Raw genomic sequence first — 21,186 nt, 5'->3', positions numbered from 1 at the left:
AGCTTTTAACAGTTGAGTGTACTCCTATGAACAAACTTTGGAGCATATTTATTTCTCTCTACCTGATTTCTCCAGAATTTGGAAACTAGTTGCGAGTATTCTTAACTTATGGCAATATGGTTATTTGCATAGGTGCAGTAAGAATCTGTTTTCTTTTGTAACAGGACACAATTGGGTAAATTGGTTATTTTACCAAGGCTTTGACTGGAATGGTGTGTTTTCCTTTAAGAAATTAAACTTGACTTACAGAGCCAATTAAAGTCCCTTGAGGAAATGGCCTCATTCCTTGCCTACACAGTCCCTGTAAACAGGATTTCTGACCTGTGGTAAGTAAAGAGTGTCACTTTCATATCAGGTCCAGGAGCTCCAAGTTATCTTGGGACCCCAAGAGGAGAGGAATTTACCCAATTCATAGCTACTTGAGGGTAGAAACCCAAGGCTGGGCTTGGCTTTTAAAAAGTCTTATCTGGGGCCTGGCGTGGTGGCTCACACCTGTAATCTCAGCACTTTGGGAGGCCAAGGTGGGTGGATCATGAGGTCAGGAGTTCGAGACCAGCCTGGCCAACATGGTGAAACCCTATCTCTACTAAAAATACAAAAAATTAGTTGGACTTGGTGGTTGGTACCTGTAATCCCAGCTACTCAGAAGGTTGAGGTAGGAGAATCGTTTGAACGTGGGAGGTGGAGGTTGCAGTGAGCTGAGATTGTGCCATTGCACTCCAGCCTGGGTGACCGTGCGAGACTATATCTCCAAAAAAAAAAAAAGTCTTATCTGAAATTCCATCTATGGAACAGAGTTCCATCAAAGCCAATTTAAAAAAGAGCTTATGTCAAAAATAATTATTCTTGCTGCACTTTATGCAAATAATCAGGCCAAGTTTTATAAAGCATATCGGTCTTACCATAATTTGTCTTTAGTAAAAATGAGAAACTGGAGAGGGAAATACTATGTTTCAAAAACTATGGTACACTTGTTGTTAAATTCTAGTCTCATTAATTGTTTTTAAGTTTGTTTCTGCAACGTAGGCTAACCCTGTGAACTAATTCCTGTGAACCAACCAGGTGATCTCTGACTGTTGCTCAGAACAAGTGGGATGGGTAATGTAAAAATCTGAATCAGTATTCTAATTCTGGGCACATTGCAATCAGCTAGCAACCCCATATCAACTTGGTTTCAACAGTTGTCCAGTTCATGGAAAACCTTCTAGTTTAGTTTACTTGGAATAACTTTACTTATTTTGCTGTACTCTTGTGGAATATATTGCTGTTACACTCTTTGTGTAGGAATATAGGAGAAGCTTACTGAATATTTTCATAAATTAAACATTTACCTTCTGTTGAAACTTAAAGAGTTATGAATGGACCTTACCATACTGGTGCTTTCTGACTGAGCTCCTCTCTACCCTGAGTGCAAGAGACCCTCATACTTAGGCAGGAATATCATTGCCCCTATTCAGCCTGAAGAAGTTACAGAAGAAGATGGATCTTCATCCCTCTGCAATCATTAGGATTAAGGGTTCTCTTATAAAAGGGAGGGGGGAAATGTTAGAGGCGTGTGAACCTGAGCAACTCCATCTTAAACAGGAGCTGGGTAAAATGAGGCTGAAACCTACTGGGCTGCATTCCCAGACGGTTAAGGCACTCTACATCACAGGATGAGATAGGAGGTCAGTACAAACTACAGGTCATAAAGACCTTGCTGATAAAACATGTTGCAGTAAAGGAGCTGGCCAAAACCTACCAAAACCAAAATGGCGACGAGATTTACCTCTGGTTGTCCTCACTGCGACACTCCCACCAGCGTCATGACAGTTTACAAATGCTATGGCAACGTCAGGAAGTTACCCTATATGGTCTAAAAGGGGGAGGCATGAATAATCCACCCCCTGTTTAGCATATCATCAAAAATTAACCATAAAAATGGGCAACCAGCAGCCCATAGGACTACACTGTCTGTGGAGTAGCCATTGTTTTATTCCTTTACTTTCTTAATAAACTTGCTTTCACTTTGGGAAGAAAAAGCTCAAATAAATAAGGATGATACCCCAAAACAGATATTCATGTATATCATTTCAAATATTTCATAATTTATAAGTAAAAGATATACATAAGCATGGGGAAAAGGGAAATTGATCGATAAACATTGGAAAGAAGATTATCAAACTCAGTCACAGTGAAGCGACAGTTTAGACAATGAGGTGCTGATGCTGTCTTTACCAATAAAATTGCCCTTCCTTCTCAAAAAGTAGACTGTAATAACCAGGGTTTGAGCAAAGGTGGGAAATGCGGCTCTGTAATAACTGATAGCCTTTACAGAGGGCAATTTGACAATAACTAACAACCTATATAGCTGTTACTATGTTTTAGGCACTTTACACATGTTAACTCATTTGATCTTCACAATAACCATATGAGGTAGGCACTGTTCTCTGCATTTCACAAATGAGGAAAGTGAGACTAAGAGGCTAAATAGCTTAACCATGAATAACTTACATAAAGTGTATATGTTCTTAACTCAGCACAGGCACACAGATGAACAAAGATAATATGTATAAGAATATTCACTGCAACATCGTTTAGTGAAAAATAAGAAACAACTTTATATGCTTACCAATGGAGAAATGGTTATTCCACGGTATATCCAGTTAAAACTAATTAGATAGCTATATATGTACCAACCTAGAAAGAAATTCAAGCAAATTTCTAGGGTAAGATGGCAAATTGAACACACGCCTCAATTTTATTCCTTTATGGCATCCCACTAAAACTCAAGATTTTTTTTTTTTTTAAAAAAGACAACCCTCTGAAGGCAGGGAGAAAATGACAAAATTCTAGAAATGGTGTCAGATCAATATGTAAGAAAGTTTGTTAGCAGACCCCAAGGGGCTGAATTTTCAGCCAGCACCAGAGAAATTAAGGACCAGGTTGGTAGCTTGACTGGTAATTTATATCATTAAAAAAACCCCAGGGCTGGGTGTGGTGGCTCACATGTGTAATCCCAGCACTTTGGGAGGCCAAGGTGGGTGGATCACCTGAGGTCAGGAGTTGGAGACCAGCCTGACCAATATGGTGAAACCCCGTCTCTACTGAAAATACAAAAATTAGCTGGGCCTGGTGGCAAGTGCCTGAGTCCCACCTACAGCAGAGGGGCTGAGACAGGAGAATTGCTTGAACCTGGAAGGCGGAGGTTGCAGTGAGCTGAGATTGCTCCATGGCGTTACACACACACACACACACACACACACACACACACACACACACACACACACACACACACACACACACACACCCCCAGGAAGGCTCAGGGACAGGCAGTACTAGGTTTGCAAGTTCTCTGCATTGTATAGTAACAAATTTTCTTCTTTCCATATTCTGTTCTTTGGAGGCAAGTCAAGAACGGAGGGTTTAACTCCATCTCCTGTGAGGGAGAATATGTGAATTTATTATTTGGAATTCTTCTTTAAGACATATTTGCCACTTCCACTTCTCTTCCATTTATTTAATTGTTTATTTATATCAATGTGGACTCCTATATGTACACATTTATTTTTTAACCATAGACTTTATTAGAATTTTACCAGTTTTTCTATGAATGTCCTTTTCTGTTCCTGGTTCCTATCCAGGACACCACATTACATTTAATTGTAATGTTTTCTTAATCTCCTCTGGTCTGTGACGGTTTCTCATTCTCTTCCTATTTTTCATAACCTTAACAGTTTTGAGGAGAACTAGTCAAATATTTTATAGATGTCTTTCAAATTAGATTTGTCTTACGTTTTTCTCATGATTAGACTGTGGTTGTAAGTTTTTGGCAAGAATACTACAGATATGAAAATATTCTTTTCATCATATCATATCAGGGGTACATAATAATAATTCGACATCATTAGTGATATTTACCTTGGTCGCTTGTTTAAGATATGTTTGCCAGGTTTCTCTTCTATAAAACAGTATTTTACCATTTCTATTATTTTTTAAAATCATACTCTATTTTTTGGAAGCAAGTCACTGAGTCCTGCCCACACTGAAAATAGGAGTTAGAGGCACTAAGTTCTACATCCTGGAGGACTAAATACTTATATATATGATTTGGAATTCTTCTGTAAGAAAGTAACCTCTTCTCTCTCATTTATTTATTTATTCAATCATTTATTTATGCCAGTATAGACTATGTGAATTTGTTTTATATTTTTGATTATGACTTAGTAATAATATTTTGTTGTTCAAATTTTGCCATTGAGAACTCTTTCAGGGTTGTTCTGGTGACACTTTGACATGGACACCACCCTGCCATCCTTTTGTTTTTTGAGCACTTCCTTACTTTTGGGTACCACAAAATGCTCCATGTTCATCTTAGTCCTACCTTAGCCCTTGAATCAATCATTTCACCAATGAGCTCTGGTTCTTTTTATTGGAGAGTGGTATTCAGAAACCAAGATCTGGGTGCTGGACATACTTGTTATTATTGGGTTGTCATTGCTTTTAGGCCCTTTCAGAGGACAGGGCTAGGTTATGCAGGTATGTATATTAGCCTATAATTACACATATATCTAGAATTATTTATCTGTTTATTCGTCAGTATTAGTATTGAGCCAAACATGAGTTCCTTATGATGTCTTTGACTCTAATCCAGACAGCAGGATTTATTTTAGCCCTTCTCCCTTGCTTATCTATAACTTCCCTCTCCAACAGTTAGAAGCCTCCCACCATCTACCATCCATTTACTTGTTTGCTCAGTCCCCAGTATATGTGTATAAAGCAGGTTCAGAACTGTTAACCTCTACTCCCCTGTATTAGTTTCCTAGGGCTGCTATAACAAATTACCACAAACTAGAGGACTTAAACAACAAAAATATTTTTTCTCACAGTTTTGGAGACTATAAGGTTCAAAATGAAGGTGTTGGCAGGGCCATGCTCCCTCTGAAGGGTCTAGGGAAGAATTCTTCCTTGCCTTTTCTAGCTTCGGGTGCTTACTGGCAGTCCTTAGTATATTATTCATTGGCTTGTGGCACCATAACTCCAGTCTTTGTCACCTTCACATGTCCTTCTTCCCTGAGCTTTCTGTCTTCATATCTTTTCTCTCTCCATATAGGGATACCAGTAAGTGGACTTAGGGCTCACCCTGAACCAGCATGACCTCATTTTACCTCGGATTACATCTGCAAAGACCCTATTTCCAAATAAGGTCACATTCACAGCTTCTAGGGGTTAAAATTTTAATGTATTTTTATGGAGGACATAATTCAACCCACAGCACCCTCTATACACACTACGTGGTTAAACAGAAAATCATTAAAAAAGTGCTGGACAGTAATTGAACAAAGTTGAGTTGAGAATAAATCAGAAGTGCGTGGAGATCTTTTTAAAAATGTGTTCTAGCTGTTTGGTCTCATTAATAAACATTAAAATTAACTTTTTGAGGGAAGAATGATGTGGGGAATGAGGATTGAGAAGTTGAAGAACAGATGCTCTGAGATTTTCTTAGTGTTATTGTAAAGCTGCTGTAAGCAAATCATACTCTTTTTAAAACTGTGTTCCTGTGTCATGACTTCTCAAAAATTTACTTGAGATTCACAGACAAACTCTTTTATTTTTTGAAGCTTTGGCTTCAAAACTCAATAATCTTCTTATAGTCACTGACTTCAACCTCAATAGAGTATTACGGTATTAACCTGGGTCCAGTCAGGAACTAGCCTTCCTCAGTTTGGCTGAGGAGAGCTTAAAAAATAACTCTCTCCTGTTCTCAGACTAGGCCCCACACGGTATCCAGACTGGTATGCTGCCTTTTTCATGACAATGGCTAGCTGAAGAACTGAAAAACACCACTGAATAGATGACTATAGTCGTTATCTTTTTCATAAGTCTCCAGAAACCCTTTGATCCTGTTGTGCATTGTTTTATACTCACCTTTTCTATTGCTATTTAGAAAACTGTCTTTTCTTTTTATTCTTTGAATTAATTTAAAACTAATTTAGTTAGCAGTAGCAAATATCCTTGTTTTTCTCACTGAGTAATTCATCAAATGTTAAATATAAGTTTCTATAATCTTTCAGAGATGGGAGAGTATGATTTTCACTTTTTCCTTGAATTGGGTTGATGTAAATATGTTAAAATTTTTGTTACTTTCATTAGTTCTTGCAATTACCTCCAAGCTGAACTTTGACTCTTTTTCCCCAACAATTTTTTATTAATGTATGAAACAGTGAGTGATTGCACTGGTATGTTATATAGTCAGAATACAGAATATTCTAATGGAAAAGAATCCTGAGTTTAAGGCATGATTAGTAGGTACTGTTATTTAGAAGCTATTCTACATAGATAAAGCAGTGTCAGAGTTTCAAGATCAAGGGTGTATTACTCTGTTCTCATGCTGCTATGAAGAAATGCCTGGGACTGGGTAATTTATAAAGAAAAGAGGTTAAATGGACTCAGAGTTCCACATGGCTGGGGAGGCCTTAGGAAACTTAGAATCATGGGGGAAAGCACCTCTTAACAGGGTGTCAGGAGAGAGAAGTTTCGAGCAAAGGGGGAAAAAAATTTCCTTATGAAGCCATCAGATCTCATGAGAACTCTCTCGCTATCATGAGAACAGCATGGGGCAGCCGCCCCCATGATGAAATTACCTCCCACTGGGTCCCTCCCACGACATGTGGGGATTATGGGAACTACAATTCAAGATGAGATTTGGGTGGGGACACAGCCAAACCATATCAAAGGGCAAATAGTTCTAGGAAAGAGGCATAAGGAATGGTGGATAAAAATAAGAAGGAATAGTAAGACTGCTGGAAGACTTACAATAAATAACAGGAAATCGAGACTTCTGTGGAAAATGAATTAGAATTGTGGTTTGAGTGATTGGTGCTGGTAATGAATGATACTGGTTGCATTTATTATTGCCTGGAAAGGTACTCTTGTTTTTTTTTTAAAAAAATCAGTTGTATTAAGATATTACCTGAATATAAGTAGTTTTAGCAGGCATAATAAAGACTATTTAGAAGGAAAGCCTGCTATGTGTGTTGATGTAACGCTTGGTTCCAATTAGTGTGTGCTTTCCTTCCTTAATTCATGTCTTTCTGAAGTTTTCATGATTTTTAATTTATGGGAGCTATTTGTTCTTTACCTTATCTGTTCTTTGGTAAGTGTGCTTACCAAGTCCTGAGTCTTGTAGTTGATAAACATTGTTTTTCATTGTTGGGTTTGCCTCATGGCTTATCTGTTTATTGTAAAGCACTCAGGAAAATAACCACTGTGGAAGATTACTGAATATTGGGAATAACCTGCATCAGAACATAAGGAATAGGTTGATATTTATAATATAATAGCAACTTTAAAACATGCCATATATCAGATTATGTCATATCCGTGTCAAGCAGATATGTTTTTTATCCTTTGGTCTTTGATTATATAATTTTTTGGGGTCATCCATTAACCACAGGTCTATAAGATGTTCATTTTTTTCTCATTTATAAAATTAAACAAATCTATGCTAGCTAAATTCCAAACATTTTAGAATAACCTAAAATGTGTTTATCTCCTTTTATTACAACACCCAGCTGAGAATTACCATGTCACATAATTATATTAATTTCTAAATAATGTACATGAAATTTGTGTATTATCAAATATAATTTTACTTTTAGATTGTATCTACAACATATTTTAGTTAGCTGCCTTCAACTTTATTACTATTACTATTTGGCTTGGAGTAAGCATTTCTTCTTGATTGGTGAGACTGTGGCATGAAGTGCTGCATTAATTTGGTTTGTTGTGATAATTTTTAGGTGAAATGTGTGAATGCACTTAAATTCTTAAAAGACTGATTATTGTAAAAACCTCAGTGTACATATTAAATAATGACACAATTTACATGCTACATGGGAGTTGACAAATATACCTTATAATTTACACACTTATTATACTTCATGCATTATATGTACGACACTGTTAGTTACTTTTAGGAGATATTTGAGGTGGTGGTTGCCTCTTCCTTTTTAACCTGGAGCTTTTAGAAGGTTCATTCATTTATTCACTTATATATATTTATTGAATACTTACTGTGTTCCAAGAATGGCAGAATTGCAGGGAGATAAACATGGAGGAGAGGATTACATGAGAATCTCAGCAGCGAAGGGATTCTAGTACAGAAAATTATTCTAGACTTACCATTGAGGAATTTTCGTTTAGCCAGGGTATTTTGAGATTTCAAATAATGCTAAATTGAGACACTAACATTAGCAGCACCACTTTTTAGCTGTTGTAATTTGTTCATGGAGTTTCAAATTCCAGGTTGGAAGGAAATAGATCTACGACAATGAGGATAGATGTGTCTACCAGGCTACCAAATTGTAACATAAGGTACATAGCTGATCCCCAGTGTTTTCCTAGGATTTCTTTGCTGAGACCTGGAGGCCATTAAATAGCTACTGTTGCCACAGATATTAGTTTGAGGAAGTTGTTTTTGAAGTATGCAGCACTTGTTGTACATAGCATAATCTTGCTGTGGGACCAGAGTTGAGTGACAGAGGGATTGTAAGAGGAAACTGGGAGTATAGGACCTTGAGGCAAAAAAAAGAAACTTACTTTTTGCTTAGGCTTGGCTCGTAACCTTCCTCAGGACAGTCTTTCTCTCCTGTATCATGTGGCTCCTGATAGGCAGGCTCTCAGGCAATTCATTTATCTTTTTCAAAAATTTGAGGTTTTTTTTTTTTGTTTTGTTTTGTTTGTTTTTTTTTTTTTGAGACAATCTCGCTGTGTCGCCCTGGCTGGAGTGTAGTGGCGGGATCTCGGCTCACTGCAAGCTCCGCCTCCCGGGTTCACGCCATTCTCCTGCCTCAGCCTACCGAGTAGCTGGGACTACAGGCGCCTGCCACCACACCCGGCTAATTTTTTGTATTTTTAGTAGAGATGGGGTTTCACCATGGTCTCGATCTCCTGACCTCGTGATCCACCAGCCTCGGCCTCCCAAAGTGCTGGGATTACAGGCGTGAGCCACCGTGCCCGGCGAGTTCTTAAATATAGTTTTTAATGTCTGTTTTGGGCTGATTTTTAAGTGTACTTATGTATTTTATTTTAAAAAGGTACAGATAGTGTTAAGTTTTTTCTTTTGATTATTCCCAACAGCTAATTTGTATTAGAGATAATTTTCTTATCTAATTAACCTATTTTATTTTAAATAGGGGCTGATAAAAATGAACTTCAATTTAATCATATCTTCATTAGTTGGTTGTTTTTACTGAGAAATCGTAGGGCTCTTGAATACTATAAATTTTGAGGTCATCCTGTGGATATATATCAGAAAGGAAGAAACAAGTTATCATTTGGTACACTATCTTCATTTTGTGTAAAAACAAAAGCCTTATAAAGATAAGGACTTGTTGGATTATTTATTTGTTTAGCCAATATTAATTGAATGTCTGTTGCATGTTAAGCACTGTGCTGGGGGTATGAATTAGACATTTCCCCTAATCATTGTATATATGAAGTCTAGAGGAGAAGACAGTAAATAGTTAGGAGCGTTACGATAGGCGAAGTACACAGGGTGGTAGGGATAGACAACAGAGGGACATACAGAAGTCCAGGGGATTAGGGAAAAGACTCCTGGCAGAAATGTTGTTTAGGTTGAGGCCCAAAAAGGTGAGTAGGAACCAGCAAGGTAAAAGGGGTTTGGGAGGAGAGTAGTCTAGGCTGAGAGAGTAGCTTGGTCAAAGGCTGGGAAGTAAAAGAACATTGTGGATGATGTGTTGAGGATGGATCACATCCCAGAAAACAAAACTGGAAGGTAGGAGACCACTTGCTGTTGAAGTAGAAGCTGGTGGTGACTTGTTCATAAAAAGAGACAGGAAAAAGACAACTAGATGATTTCGGAGATATTTGGGAAATCAAGACCATACTTTTTTTTTTTTTTTTAAACAGCATTATTGCGATGCGCTGCCCCTCCCCCCACCAATCTCATGTCAAATTGTATTCCCCAATGTTGGTAGGGCCTGGTGGGAGGTGATTGCATCATGGAGGCAGTTTCTCGTGAATGGTTTAGCATCATCCCCCTAGTGCGGTTCTCGTGATAGACTTCTCACAAGATCAGGTTGTTTAAAAGTGTGTAGCACCTCTCTCCTCTCTCTCTTCCTCCTGCCATGTAAGACACCTACTCCTGCTTTGCCTTCCAATCAAACCTCTTTCTTTTATAAAAACCTCAGGCTCGATATTTCTTTTCTTTTCTTTTTTTTTTTTTAAATTCTTTTTCAGGTATTTATAGCAGTACAGTAATGGACTTATACCATACACCCGTTTGAAGTGTACAATTCAATGACTTTTAGTATATTCACAGAGTCATACATCTATTACCACTGTCAATTTTAGAACATTTTTATTACACCAAAAAGAAATTATATCCCCTTTAGCCATTATCCTTCAAACCCTCTATTTTCCCAGCTGTAGGCAACTACTAATTTTGAAGGACAATATGAAAACTTCCCAGGGGCTCTGTCTCTTTTCCTTGCTTATGTATTTTATTACAATGATTAGGTTTCATTTGTTCATTAGTTTACTTTGCTGAATGGTTTCTTTAAAACAACTCATCTTAATGTAAAATATCTTCTTGTTCTCACTATCTTTTTCTTTTTTTTCCATAAAATTTCAAACATACACCAAAGTAGAAAGAAGGCAAAAGTGGTAACCTATATTTGTACACACCAAATTTATACAATTATAATACATGACAATCTTATTTCAGCCATTACTTCTGCTCATCCACGTATACCCTTGGTACTATTTTTAAGCAAATAGAGAACTCCTTTTTAACCTTTTGGTAATAATGATACCAACATTTATTGAGCATTTACTATTTATTTACAGGGCATCATGATCATGATAAGAGGTTTGCATAAATTTTTCATTTAATTAAAAAATTTAATGTGGTACAATTATAAACCCATTTTATATATAAGGTAGGTGATATTTCAACCATTTTCTAGCCTGTTCTGCTTTTTATTAACAGTCAATTCATTGGTGAATAATACTATGTTTTTGCAACTTTGAAACTTTCAGGACTCTGATAATGGATATTCAAATAACATCACTTCCAGATATGACAGTGAATTATTTGGTCAATTAGCCTTAAAATTAACAGAAAATATCTCTCATAAAATTTTGCAATATGTTACACATTATATATAACTTATTTTAAAATTCTTTTATTATGGAGTCCTTTTGAGGTAAAATACAATTATCTCCTTTTTACTGATCAAAAAAAAAAAAAAAAAAAGACCTAGAGGATGTTAATGTATTCAGGGTTATATAGCTTTTCAAGTGGTGGAGACGAGTTTCTCTTAGTCTGTTTGTTTAGCCCCAAGCCCTGTTCTTTAACCATTGGTGCTAGATGTCTGTATTTGGAAGGCAGAATCCAAAGGGAGAAAAGCCCTGAGAGATATAGTGTAGGATAATATAGGTAACACTAGATTGAGAAACAGGATACTAGGATTTTATTTTGAGCTCTGTTCTTGGTCAAGTAATTTAACCTCTTTGTACTTTAGTTCTTTATTTATAGATGGTAGCAGGTCAGAGGTTATACAAAGAACTTTTTTGCTTGTGAAATCGTAATTTCAAGGCAGTATTCAAAACAATTTGATTTACATTCTTTTGTAAATCAAGTAACTTTGTTCCTTATCTCTAAATTCTCGTTAATTTATGTTATTGCTGAAAATTAAATATTTGAATCATAAATTCTTAAACATGATGTATAATGTCATTATAGCTCTGTTACCGGTGGAGGGTGTCCAGGTTCTTGGTGCTTTGAACAAAGAATTGGACAAAATACACAAAGCAAGGAAAGAATGAAGCAATAAAAGCATAGATTTATTGAAAATGAAAGCACACTCAACAGGGTGGGAGTGGGCTCAAGCAAGCAGCTCAAGAATCTGGTTACAGAATTCTCTGGGGTTTAAATACCCTCTAGAGGTTTCCCATTTTGTTACTTCGTGTACACCCTATGTAAATGAAGTAGTGTCCCATGATCAGTCTGATTGGTTGCAGAAAGTGACCAATCAGAGGCTGAAGTGAAGTTACAAAGTTACACCCTATGCAGACGTCTGATTGGTTGTGGAAAGTGACCTGTCAGAGGCTGAAGTGAAGTTACAAAATTACACTTCTATGCAAATGAAGACTTGGCCCATGACCAGCCTGATTGGTTGCAGGAGGGGACCAATCAGAGGTACGTTCAGTTTTTCATCTGCCACACAGAAAAGGCAGGGTGGGAGGGGGCCTTTGCAAAGGGAGTAGTAGCCTCTGGTACTTTTGTTACTTGGGTGTGAAAAGTTGGGGTTTTCATCTTAATTTAGTTCTAGGAAGTCAGCGTGAATTGGCCTTAGGTTCCCTGCCTCCAGACCCTGTTCTCCTGCCTCAGCTCTAGTAAGTTTGCAGAAATTAAAATTGTTGGAGGCATATTTTTGTATCTTTATGGACCTCAGTTTTACCTTCAGTATATATCATTCATTCATTCATTTTTGCCATCATTTTGCTTCTCAGCCTGGTAGAGAGAGTGTGATTGCTGGACCCTTACCCAGCTGAACTGAACTGAATTGATTTTAGAGATGTGTGAAGAACCCATGGACCTGGAAGGGCTCTTGTCACACAATCGTGAATGTAGGTGATATGGCTCCGATGACCGGAGGAACACCAGGGTCCTTTGTCTCGCCGGTTTAAATAAAACGACACGGACACATGTGGAGTGCTTTTAAGGAGCAGAGAGAGTTTAATACCAAGAAACACCCAGAACTGGCCTCAGTAGTCACATCTGGGGAGAGAGGAGGGTAGTGATGTTCTATGCACAGAATACCTGACAATACTTGTTTTCTGGGGTAGGTGCATGGATACACAAATAATAATAAGCAAGAAAGAAGGAAGAGGCTCTCCTGTACAGAGATGGAGGGGGGCTCCAAGCTGAGAGGGGGAACTCCGAGTGTGGAAAAGAGCCAGTTATATTAGGAGGCTGGAGGAGGCAGTGTCTGATTTGAGGCCCAGGGGATTGGTTTGACCAGGTATATCATTCACTTAACCCGCCAAAAAAAGGGTCCTCCCACCCTAGCCTTTGAGTATGCAAATGCAGGGGGCTATGATGTTCTATACACATGGGGATATGTGGTGGTGTCCATGATGCTAGGCACTTGTGGTGACAAGAAGTTGAGGCAGGAATCGCTGTATTGAGTGGACCCAGTTTCTGATGGCTGGTATTTGCATATCAAAGCTTGCCGGCTCAGCCCCTCAAGCTGTTTTTCTGCTAGGCAATAAAGTTTCTGGAGCTGCTTTAAAAGAAAAAAACCTTGCCAAGGACCCCTTGTCCTATCTGTTTTTTTAAGTTTGTAAATGTTTATTAACTGGCAGTGACCAACACAGGGGAATCAGATGAGGGGAGTTTGCAGCAGGGAGTGCATGTTGAACAGGAAACAGAGTGAGGGGGGCTTGACCAGGACTCATTAGCGATGGGGAAAAGCAGATGGAGATATTTATAGTGGTATTCCACGTGTGTATGTGTGTGTGTGTGTGTGTGTGTGTAAATGCAGAGAAAAAAAATCTGAAACACCCAGAACTGGCCTCAATAGTCACATCTGGGGAGAGAGGAGGGTAGTGCTGTTCTATGCAGAGAATACCTGACAATACTTGTTTTCTGAGGTAGGTGCATGGATACACAAACAGAAATATGCATTAACTATGTCTCATTCATCAACAAAAATGCAAATATCTAACAGGATGGCACACTGTAAGAAAATACAATGAAAATGCTAATATCTAACTCTTGGCACACTGTAAGAAAAATGACGCTCAACTTTTCACTGTCGTGAACTCCTGCTTTCACTTGCTATACACCTGATGATGAGGGGTTCGCAGCCATGCCCATGTTCATAGAAGGTCACCAGTTTCTGCTTCTCATCATGGGCTTGCATCCTATCCCTGAGGGGAGTTATTTGTCATCTTCCTCAGGGTTTCTGATCTCTTCATAAATCACTAGATACTTTCTCTCTCGCAGTCCGTGGGTCCAGACGTGTTCCCCCTTTTCTTGGGTCTAGATGTCTTGTTAGTCTTCTCAGAGGTACTTTCTTTTCCCAGGGGACACAGCTGTTTCCCATTGTTTTGTGAGCCAGATGTTTCTGGCACTCCCTTCAAATCATTTCCTTCCTCTGCTGGCTTCTTGGGCATCATCTTTGGAAAGTTCCCTTGTAGCATGCCGAAAGCCATCTGAGGATATTCATCCTGATTCCTGCAGTTTTAGTCTATATCAGAATCATTCCCCTGGAATTCTGCAGCCCATTTATTGTACATGAAAGTTGGGAGGGTGGCCTAGAGACCTAGTTTAGTCATGGTCTCATAGTTTCTCTTCATATACACATAGGTGATTTTCTCTGAGTTTTTCAGCTTTCCCCACTCTTTATTAGATAAGTATCTGGCAATATCATTGAAGGCCTTGTGTTTCTTCTCTGATATCTGAGCATCATCCCTGGGTCTCTTTGCAAAGGTGCTGTCTCCGTTCATGGCATTGGGAGCAGTCTGACCTCGGAGACGAAGCAGCCCTGGCGAGGTCAACAGCAGCAGCGGCAGTGAGGGCAGTGGCCAAATAATTTTTTAATAACTCCTATAACATTCTACCCGGAGGAGATGTCACCCTAACTGCTGTTAGGGGGTTTTGGGTGATGACTCTTTCCGGCTACTTCCTGCTGAAAAGGAGCATTGAATGGGGAACAGCAGCTAGGGCTCCTCCTGGGGTAGATCCAAGGATCCTCGGAAGAATGGCATGTCCATGTGTGGTTTGGTTTGCAACACCACTTGGAATTTGATTGCTTCTAGGCGATAGGAAACAATTCTAGTTATAGTACTGAGTTATACAAGTTATATAGTATTGAGTTATAGTATTGAGTTAATGTAAGACATGTAAGCAAGAGGGAGCTTAATAAAGGGGCTAACCAATTCCATAAAGAAGACTGGAATTCATTAAAGAGGGATTGTAGTCACCTGGGGCTGAAGCCTTCATTTTCTCTTAGCCTGTCAATAATTTTGATTTGATCTTTAAGTACCTGTAGATTTTCCTTAATCTACTAGAGGGTTAATCCAGAAGCAGCATGTTGCATTTAAAAGTGCACAGGTACCTCCCACTTCAGCTGTAAGGACATCTAAGGCCTGTCGATTTTGTGCTACTACCTACTAAGGCTAAAGAGTCTATAGATTGTGGTTGTGCCTCTATGGCCCATACAGTTGCCTTCCATCCTCATTGCATTATAATAGAGATATTAAGTATTGATCTTTCAAGGAGAGGGGATGCCCATAAACCAGAATATACCTCTGGCTATAGAATTTCCCATCCATGCTTTTTCTAAGATGAGATTGTCATGTGCATGCCCTCCCCAGGCTGCCCTTTCAGTTAAATCTCCATATGAGGGCATAGAAATGATAGATCCCTTTGTCCGATGTATTCAGAATAGTGCAGTTTCTAGAAAAGAGGCTAAGTTAGGGATGTCCCCAGATGATGCTGTCATCTTGGTAGAATTTAATAAGTTGAGAACTACTGCAGCTATAGTACAAGTTCCCTTCTAATGCCTTGGGAGGATTAAGTGTATCCAGGAGCCACAAAGAAAATGTAGCCCTGTTCCTTGAAGGGATGGTTCTAAGTTGTGGCTTGTGAGAGACACTGGCAGATTTTTCTCATATCTTAGAACTTTCCTTTCTTTACATATAATAGAGGCATCCTTGGGATAAAGATAACCATATTTAGGGTAGTCATTTACGATGTCATTTGGAATTTGACATGCCAAGTGAAAAGGGTCCACCTGACAAATGGAGTTTTGAAAAATTAGAGACGTAATATGCCCTGGCCAATATCTCAGATGATTCTTGTGGCAAGGGGTGTCAGTCCAGATGTCTTCAGTTCGCCCTCAGATCAGTAAGCCGCCACTGTTAGCAAACATCATACAAGGGTCTGGAATTCCATGGGTGGGGGGGAGTTTGGAAAGACCCATGTGTTATTTTTTACATTATAGTCAAGTTGGTTACTTAGAGCATGCCACTCCCATCGGTACTTCCAACCAGAAGGAGACTAGTTTCTGAAAGCCCCCCACTAGGGCTTCTATCCTTGTATATCACCCTTGTTGCACTCTCCTCAAATCTTTGAACTATCAGCAATTACAAGTGTGATGTTACTCCCAAGTATGGTTCTTCCCCACTACTTTTAAAGCAGAGGGAGGCATTTGCTATTACTCCATCAACTTTTCCAAGCCTGAGGGTGTGAAGCTTATCTTTGGGAGAAAGTTCTTTGGCGCTGGGGCAGAGTGTTCTCCTGGGAAGAGTTAGTCACCCAATTGAAAGTGTTCCCATACCATGTCCCATTTATGCCTGATAAGTCTTTAAGGGTTAAAGGTAAAGCCAACAAAGGGAATCCTAAGATGGTGAGTTCCGGGTAACTATAAGGTTCCTTAGTGTCACTGAACTGAGCGAACCACTTAGGACAGACCCAACAATTAGTCTTACTGTACAAATGGGCCATGGCAGATATTGTAGGAGCTAGATGGTGCGACGTATTACTAAGTCCAATAAAGAGTTCTAACAGATTTAGTGATAGTAAAATGCTCATGTTTACTTCCTGTTAGTAACTGTTATTCCTGCTGTGAGGTTAATAATTAAGCAAAATGCAGTAGTAATTGAGATTCTCTCTCTGACATTCCACCCTGAGGGTGCTACAGTATATAGTTCTACTGCAAATAGCAGAGTGAGTATAGCAATTCCTGCAAGGTTGGAGTAGTAAATAATTTCCACCAAAAAGAAGTTCTGATATTTGGCTCAAAAGGAGAGGTAGAAATGACAAAAAGTATTTGTTGAGGTAGGGGTGAGACTGAATAAGATGATTAGTTCTCATATAGTTACTTATCTTTTATGATTTTCAGCTTAAGATCTTCCATTTCTTCACATTGCTATTCAGGACGTTCCTCTGGGCTGTTGGGGGTTGCTCCCTCAGCTCTCCAGGCTTTGACTTGAGTGTGATGTTTCCAGGAGTCGGTCGATTCCTGTACCTTTTATTGTTGGGGGAGTTGGAAGAAGAACAGTGTGAGGCCCTTCCTAGGTTGGGCTTAGGAAGGGAGAGAGAGAGGAGGATCCTTTACCAGTACCAAATCTCCTGGGTTAAATAGAGGTGGTCCAATTTCCTGGGATTGGGTTTTCGCTAATTGTGCTAATTCCTGTTGGAAGTGAGCCAGAGAGGTTACATGCTTAACTAGCTCAGAGGTTTCCCGATCTAATAGAAAAATCATTGGTAAGGAAAGTGTGTCCATACAGCATTTCAAAAAAGCTAAGACCTAATTTTCAAGGGGTATCTCTTATTCGTAGTAAGGCCGTGGGAGGAAGAGTGACCCAAGGAAGGTGAGTTTCTTGGGACAATTTTCTGGTGTGTCTCTTGGTAATATCATTAGTTTTCTCTACCTTTCCTGAGGATTAGGGTCTCTAAGCCCAATGGAGATGATATTCTATGCCTAGTGCTTTTGAGATCCCTTGTGTGACAGCTGCCTTAAATGAGGGCCCATTGTCACTTTGAAGGTACTTGGATAGATGAAAGCAGGGAGTTATTTCATTAACTAATACTTTTATTACCTCAGAGGCTTTTTCTGTACAACATGGAAATGCTTCTACCCAGTTAGTGAAGGTATCTACCCATACAGCAGGTATTGAATGCCCTTTGTCTTTGGCATGTGGGTGAAGTTTACCTGCCACTCCTCCCTTGGGTATCTTTTTGTTCTTTGGGTTTGAGGAGGAAGGAGTCGCCTGTTCAGGGGATTATTTTTAAGACAGACTTCACAAGCATGAACAACTTGCTTGATTGTTTTTAGTAAGTTCTTTCCTGAAAACAATCTCTGGGCACATTGATAAGTTTTATCCTCTCCCAAGTGAAAAGCTTGGTGAAGCACTTTAAGGACTTTCCATTGGCTGGAGGCCGTCAAGGGGAGTTTGCCATCTTGTGACTGTAGCCATCCTGAGGGCTGAAATGTATACCCTCGAGAAGTGGCCCATCCTATTTCTGTGGGGGAGTACTGAGGTTTAATTTCTCTCATGGAGCCTTCCCAGATTAGAGGGGTTTGAAGTGTGTTGTCTTGAGCCTTCCTTGCTGCTGACTTAGCTGCCTGATCAGCTAATCTGTTTCCTTTGGCTACCTCATCTGTTCCCTTTTGATGTCTCCTACAATGCATCACTGCTATTTCTCATGGAAGAAAAACTGAGGATAATAACCTGTTAATTTCCTGGAGGTATTTATAGGAGATCCATCGGTGGTAAGAAAATGCCTTTCGTTCCAAATGGCAGCATGAGCATGGAGAACCAGGAAAGCATATTTGGAGTCTGTGTAAATGTTAGCTACCTTTCCTTTGCTTAATTCAATTGCTTCTGTAAGAGCGATTAGCTCAGCTAATTGAGCGCTTGTGCCTGGAGGGAGTGACACACTTTCAGTGATGTCATGTAGAGTGACTACTGTGTATCCTGCCTTACAGATTCCTTGTTCTACAAAAGAGCTCCCATCTGTCAAGAGGGTCCAGTCTGGGTTCTCTAGGGGAGTTTCCTTGAGATCTTCCCTGGCTGCATAGGTCTGTACTATGATTTGTTCATAGTCATGCTCAGATTCCCCAGTTTCCTCCTGGTGGAAGGCGGCTGGATTTAGGTGAGAACAATTCTTTAATTGGATGTTGGAACCCTTTAACAGCAGGGCCTGATATTTAAGAAGTCAGCTATCTGTTAGCCAAAGGCTCCCCCAAAAGTGCAGTAGTCCTGCCACGTTAGGTGGGGCATAAATAGTTAAATCATTTTCCAGAGTTAATTTGGAGGCTTCTGGGACCAACAGAGCCACTGAGGCAATGGCGGGGAGGCATGCTGGCCATCCTTTAGCCACCAACTCAAGTTCCTTACTTAGGCAACCCACTGGCTGTTGGCCTGGTCTTTGGGCCTGTGTTAATACTCCCAGGGCCATTCCCTTCTTTTCTGATACATACAGATTGAAGTCCTTCCCTATAGGAAGGGTGAAAGTTGGTGCCTTAAGCAAGGCTTGCTTTAGCTGGTCAAAGGCCTTTTGAGCTTCAGATTCCCAGGTTAAAAGATGAGTTTTAGTTCCTTGAGTTTATTTTATGAGGTTATATCATGGACAGCCTATTTCACCATACCCAGGTATCCATAGTCTACAAAATCCTGTAATGCCCCAAAATCCTCTGAGTTGCTTGAGGGTTTTGGGGAGGGGAAAGGAAGAAATATTCTCAACTCCCTCCTTCCCTAATGCTCTGGTCCCCTCAGACAGCACTAAGCCTAGGTGTACTTCACTGAGGTTTTGCAGAGCTGGGCCTTGGGTTTTGAAACTTTATATTCTCTGTTAGCTAACATATTGAGAAGAGCTTCAGTGCCTTCCTGAAAAGCATCCTCAGTTGGGGCACATAGCAGAATATCATCAACATACTGCAAGACCTTAACTTAAGGTTGAGAGAACTCAGAGAGGTCTTGTGACAGTGCCTGTCCAAACAGATGAGGACTATTTCAAAATCCCTGAGGCAGCACCGTCAGTGTTAACTGGGCGTCTGGCTGGAGGAATATTTGAAGGCAAACCGGTATTGACAGTCAGGATGTAACGGTGTACAGAAAAAGGCATCCTTTAAATCTAGGACTGTAAACCATTTAGTTCCCTCAGGTATTTGAGTTAACAGGGTATAGGGATTAGGGACCACTGGATGGATTGGAACTACAGCTTCATTAATGAGGCGAAGGTCCTGAACCAGGCTTCATTCCCCATTGGGTTTCTGTGCTCCTAATATTGGGGTGTTGCAGGGGCTATTACAGGGTTTGAGGAGGCCCTGCATCTTTAGGTTATTAATAATGGCTTCTAGCCCTTTCCTAGCCACTGGCCTTAGGGATAATATCTCTGGTTAGGAAAAGAAGTGGGATCCTTAAGATAGATCTGGACTGGCGTAGTGGTTATAGCTCAACCTATTCTTCCTTAAGTTGCCCACACTTCCACATTAATGTTAGCTTCCATCAGGGGGAGATAGAGTTTGTCCTGGGGCTGTAAAGATGCTGCAGGCCCCCATGCAAGCTAGAATATATCTACCTAATAAAGGAGTGGGACTTTCAGGCGTGATTAAAAAGGCATGTTTAAATAGTAAGTCTCCCCATCTGCAAAAGGGGTTGAGAAAAATATTGGGTTAGAGTTTTTCGTGATACACCCCTTATGGTTGTGCTCTGGGAAGAGGGGAGGCCTGAATTAGAGAGGAGGAGCAAGAGACTGGCTTCAGTATCCAGAAGGAGATCTACCTTCCTTCCTTCAATTTCCAGAATCACTCAGGGTTCCTGTGCTGTAATGGCAGTCTGAGTCGCTGGAGCCGGGGGTTTAAGCCTCGGGACCCGTCAGTCCTGCTGGACCATCTATGAGACTGGTTCTGAACCCAGCGACCTCTGCCTCTGGGGGCAGATCCATCTCCAGTGGTCTCCGCCACAGGCTGGACAGGGTCAAGGTGGCTTCGTCTTGCTGCCTGGGCATTCCCTCTTAAAATGCCCTGACTTGCCACATTGATAACAGCTAGCAGATGCACCTCAGGGATCCTGGACTTTACAAGCGTGCAATGCTGCTACTAGAGCCTCTGTTCTTCACTTATATTTCCTTTCCTTTTCTTGGGCCTCCTCCTGATCTGTATTGTAAATGACTGAAGTGGCTATTCTCAGGAGGTTCTCTAGGGTGCTATCTGGTCCTATAGCTTGTTTCTGTAGTTTCTTTCCAATATCGGGAGCTGACTGTGTAATAAACTTGTCCTTCAGGATTAGCTGTCCCTCGACTGAATCATGATAAAGAGGTGTGTTTTATTAGTGCCTCTCTTAGCCTTTCCATAAAGGCTGTGGGATTCTCATCTGGTCTATCATAGATAGTTTAGAGTAATCGAGAGGTTTGGCCCTGGTCTTCCATAGGCCCTCTAACATAGACCTTAAGAAGTGCTTCCTTTTCCATTCATTTCCTGCGTTATTGGGGTTCCAATCAGGGTTGTCCGCTGGAACTGCTTCCCTTCCTAGTGGGAATGGAGTTTCCACTTCTTCCTTACCTTCCTTGTCTCCTCTTTTTCTCCTTGGTCTGCTACAGGAGGCATGTTGCTTATATCCATATTTTTCTGCTGCCTGTGGAACTGCTGGCTTTTCAGCCCC

The 21,186-nt window shown here is 40.1% G+C and overlaps 1 protein-coding gene and 1 pseudogene across 12 annotated transcripts in view; one reads left to right on the top strand and one right to left on the bottom strand.

Moving 5' to 3' along the window:
* The window catches only part of CEP85L (centrosomal protein 85L), a 249,318-nt gene that overhangs the window by 106,500 nt on the left and 121,632 nt on the right, over positions 1–21,186 (top strand). The window lies entirely within an intron of this gene.
* SSXP10 (SSX family pseudogene 10) lies at positions 13,349–14,538 on the bottom strand (annotated as a pseudogene).

This window comes from Homo sapiens, chromosome 6 (assembly GCF_000001405.40).
Source record: "Homo sapiens chromosome 6, GRCh38.p14 Primary Assembly".
NCBI classification, from domain to species: domain Eukaryota; kingdom Metazoa; phylum Chordata; class Mammalia; order Primates; family Hominidae; genus Homo; species Homo sapiens.
The sequence above is the reverse complement of the archived record's forward strand: the minus strand, read 5'-3'. Positions and strand labels throughout refer to the sequence as shown.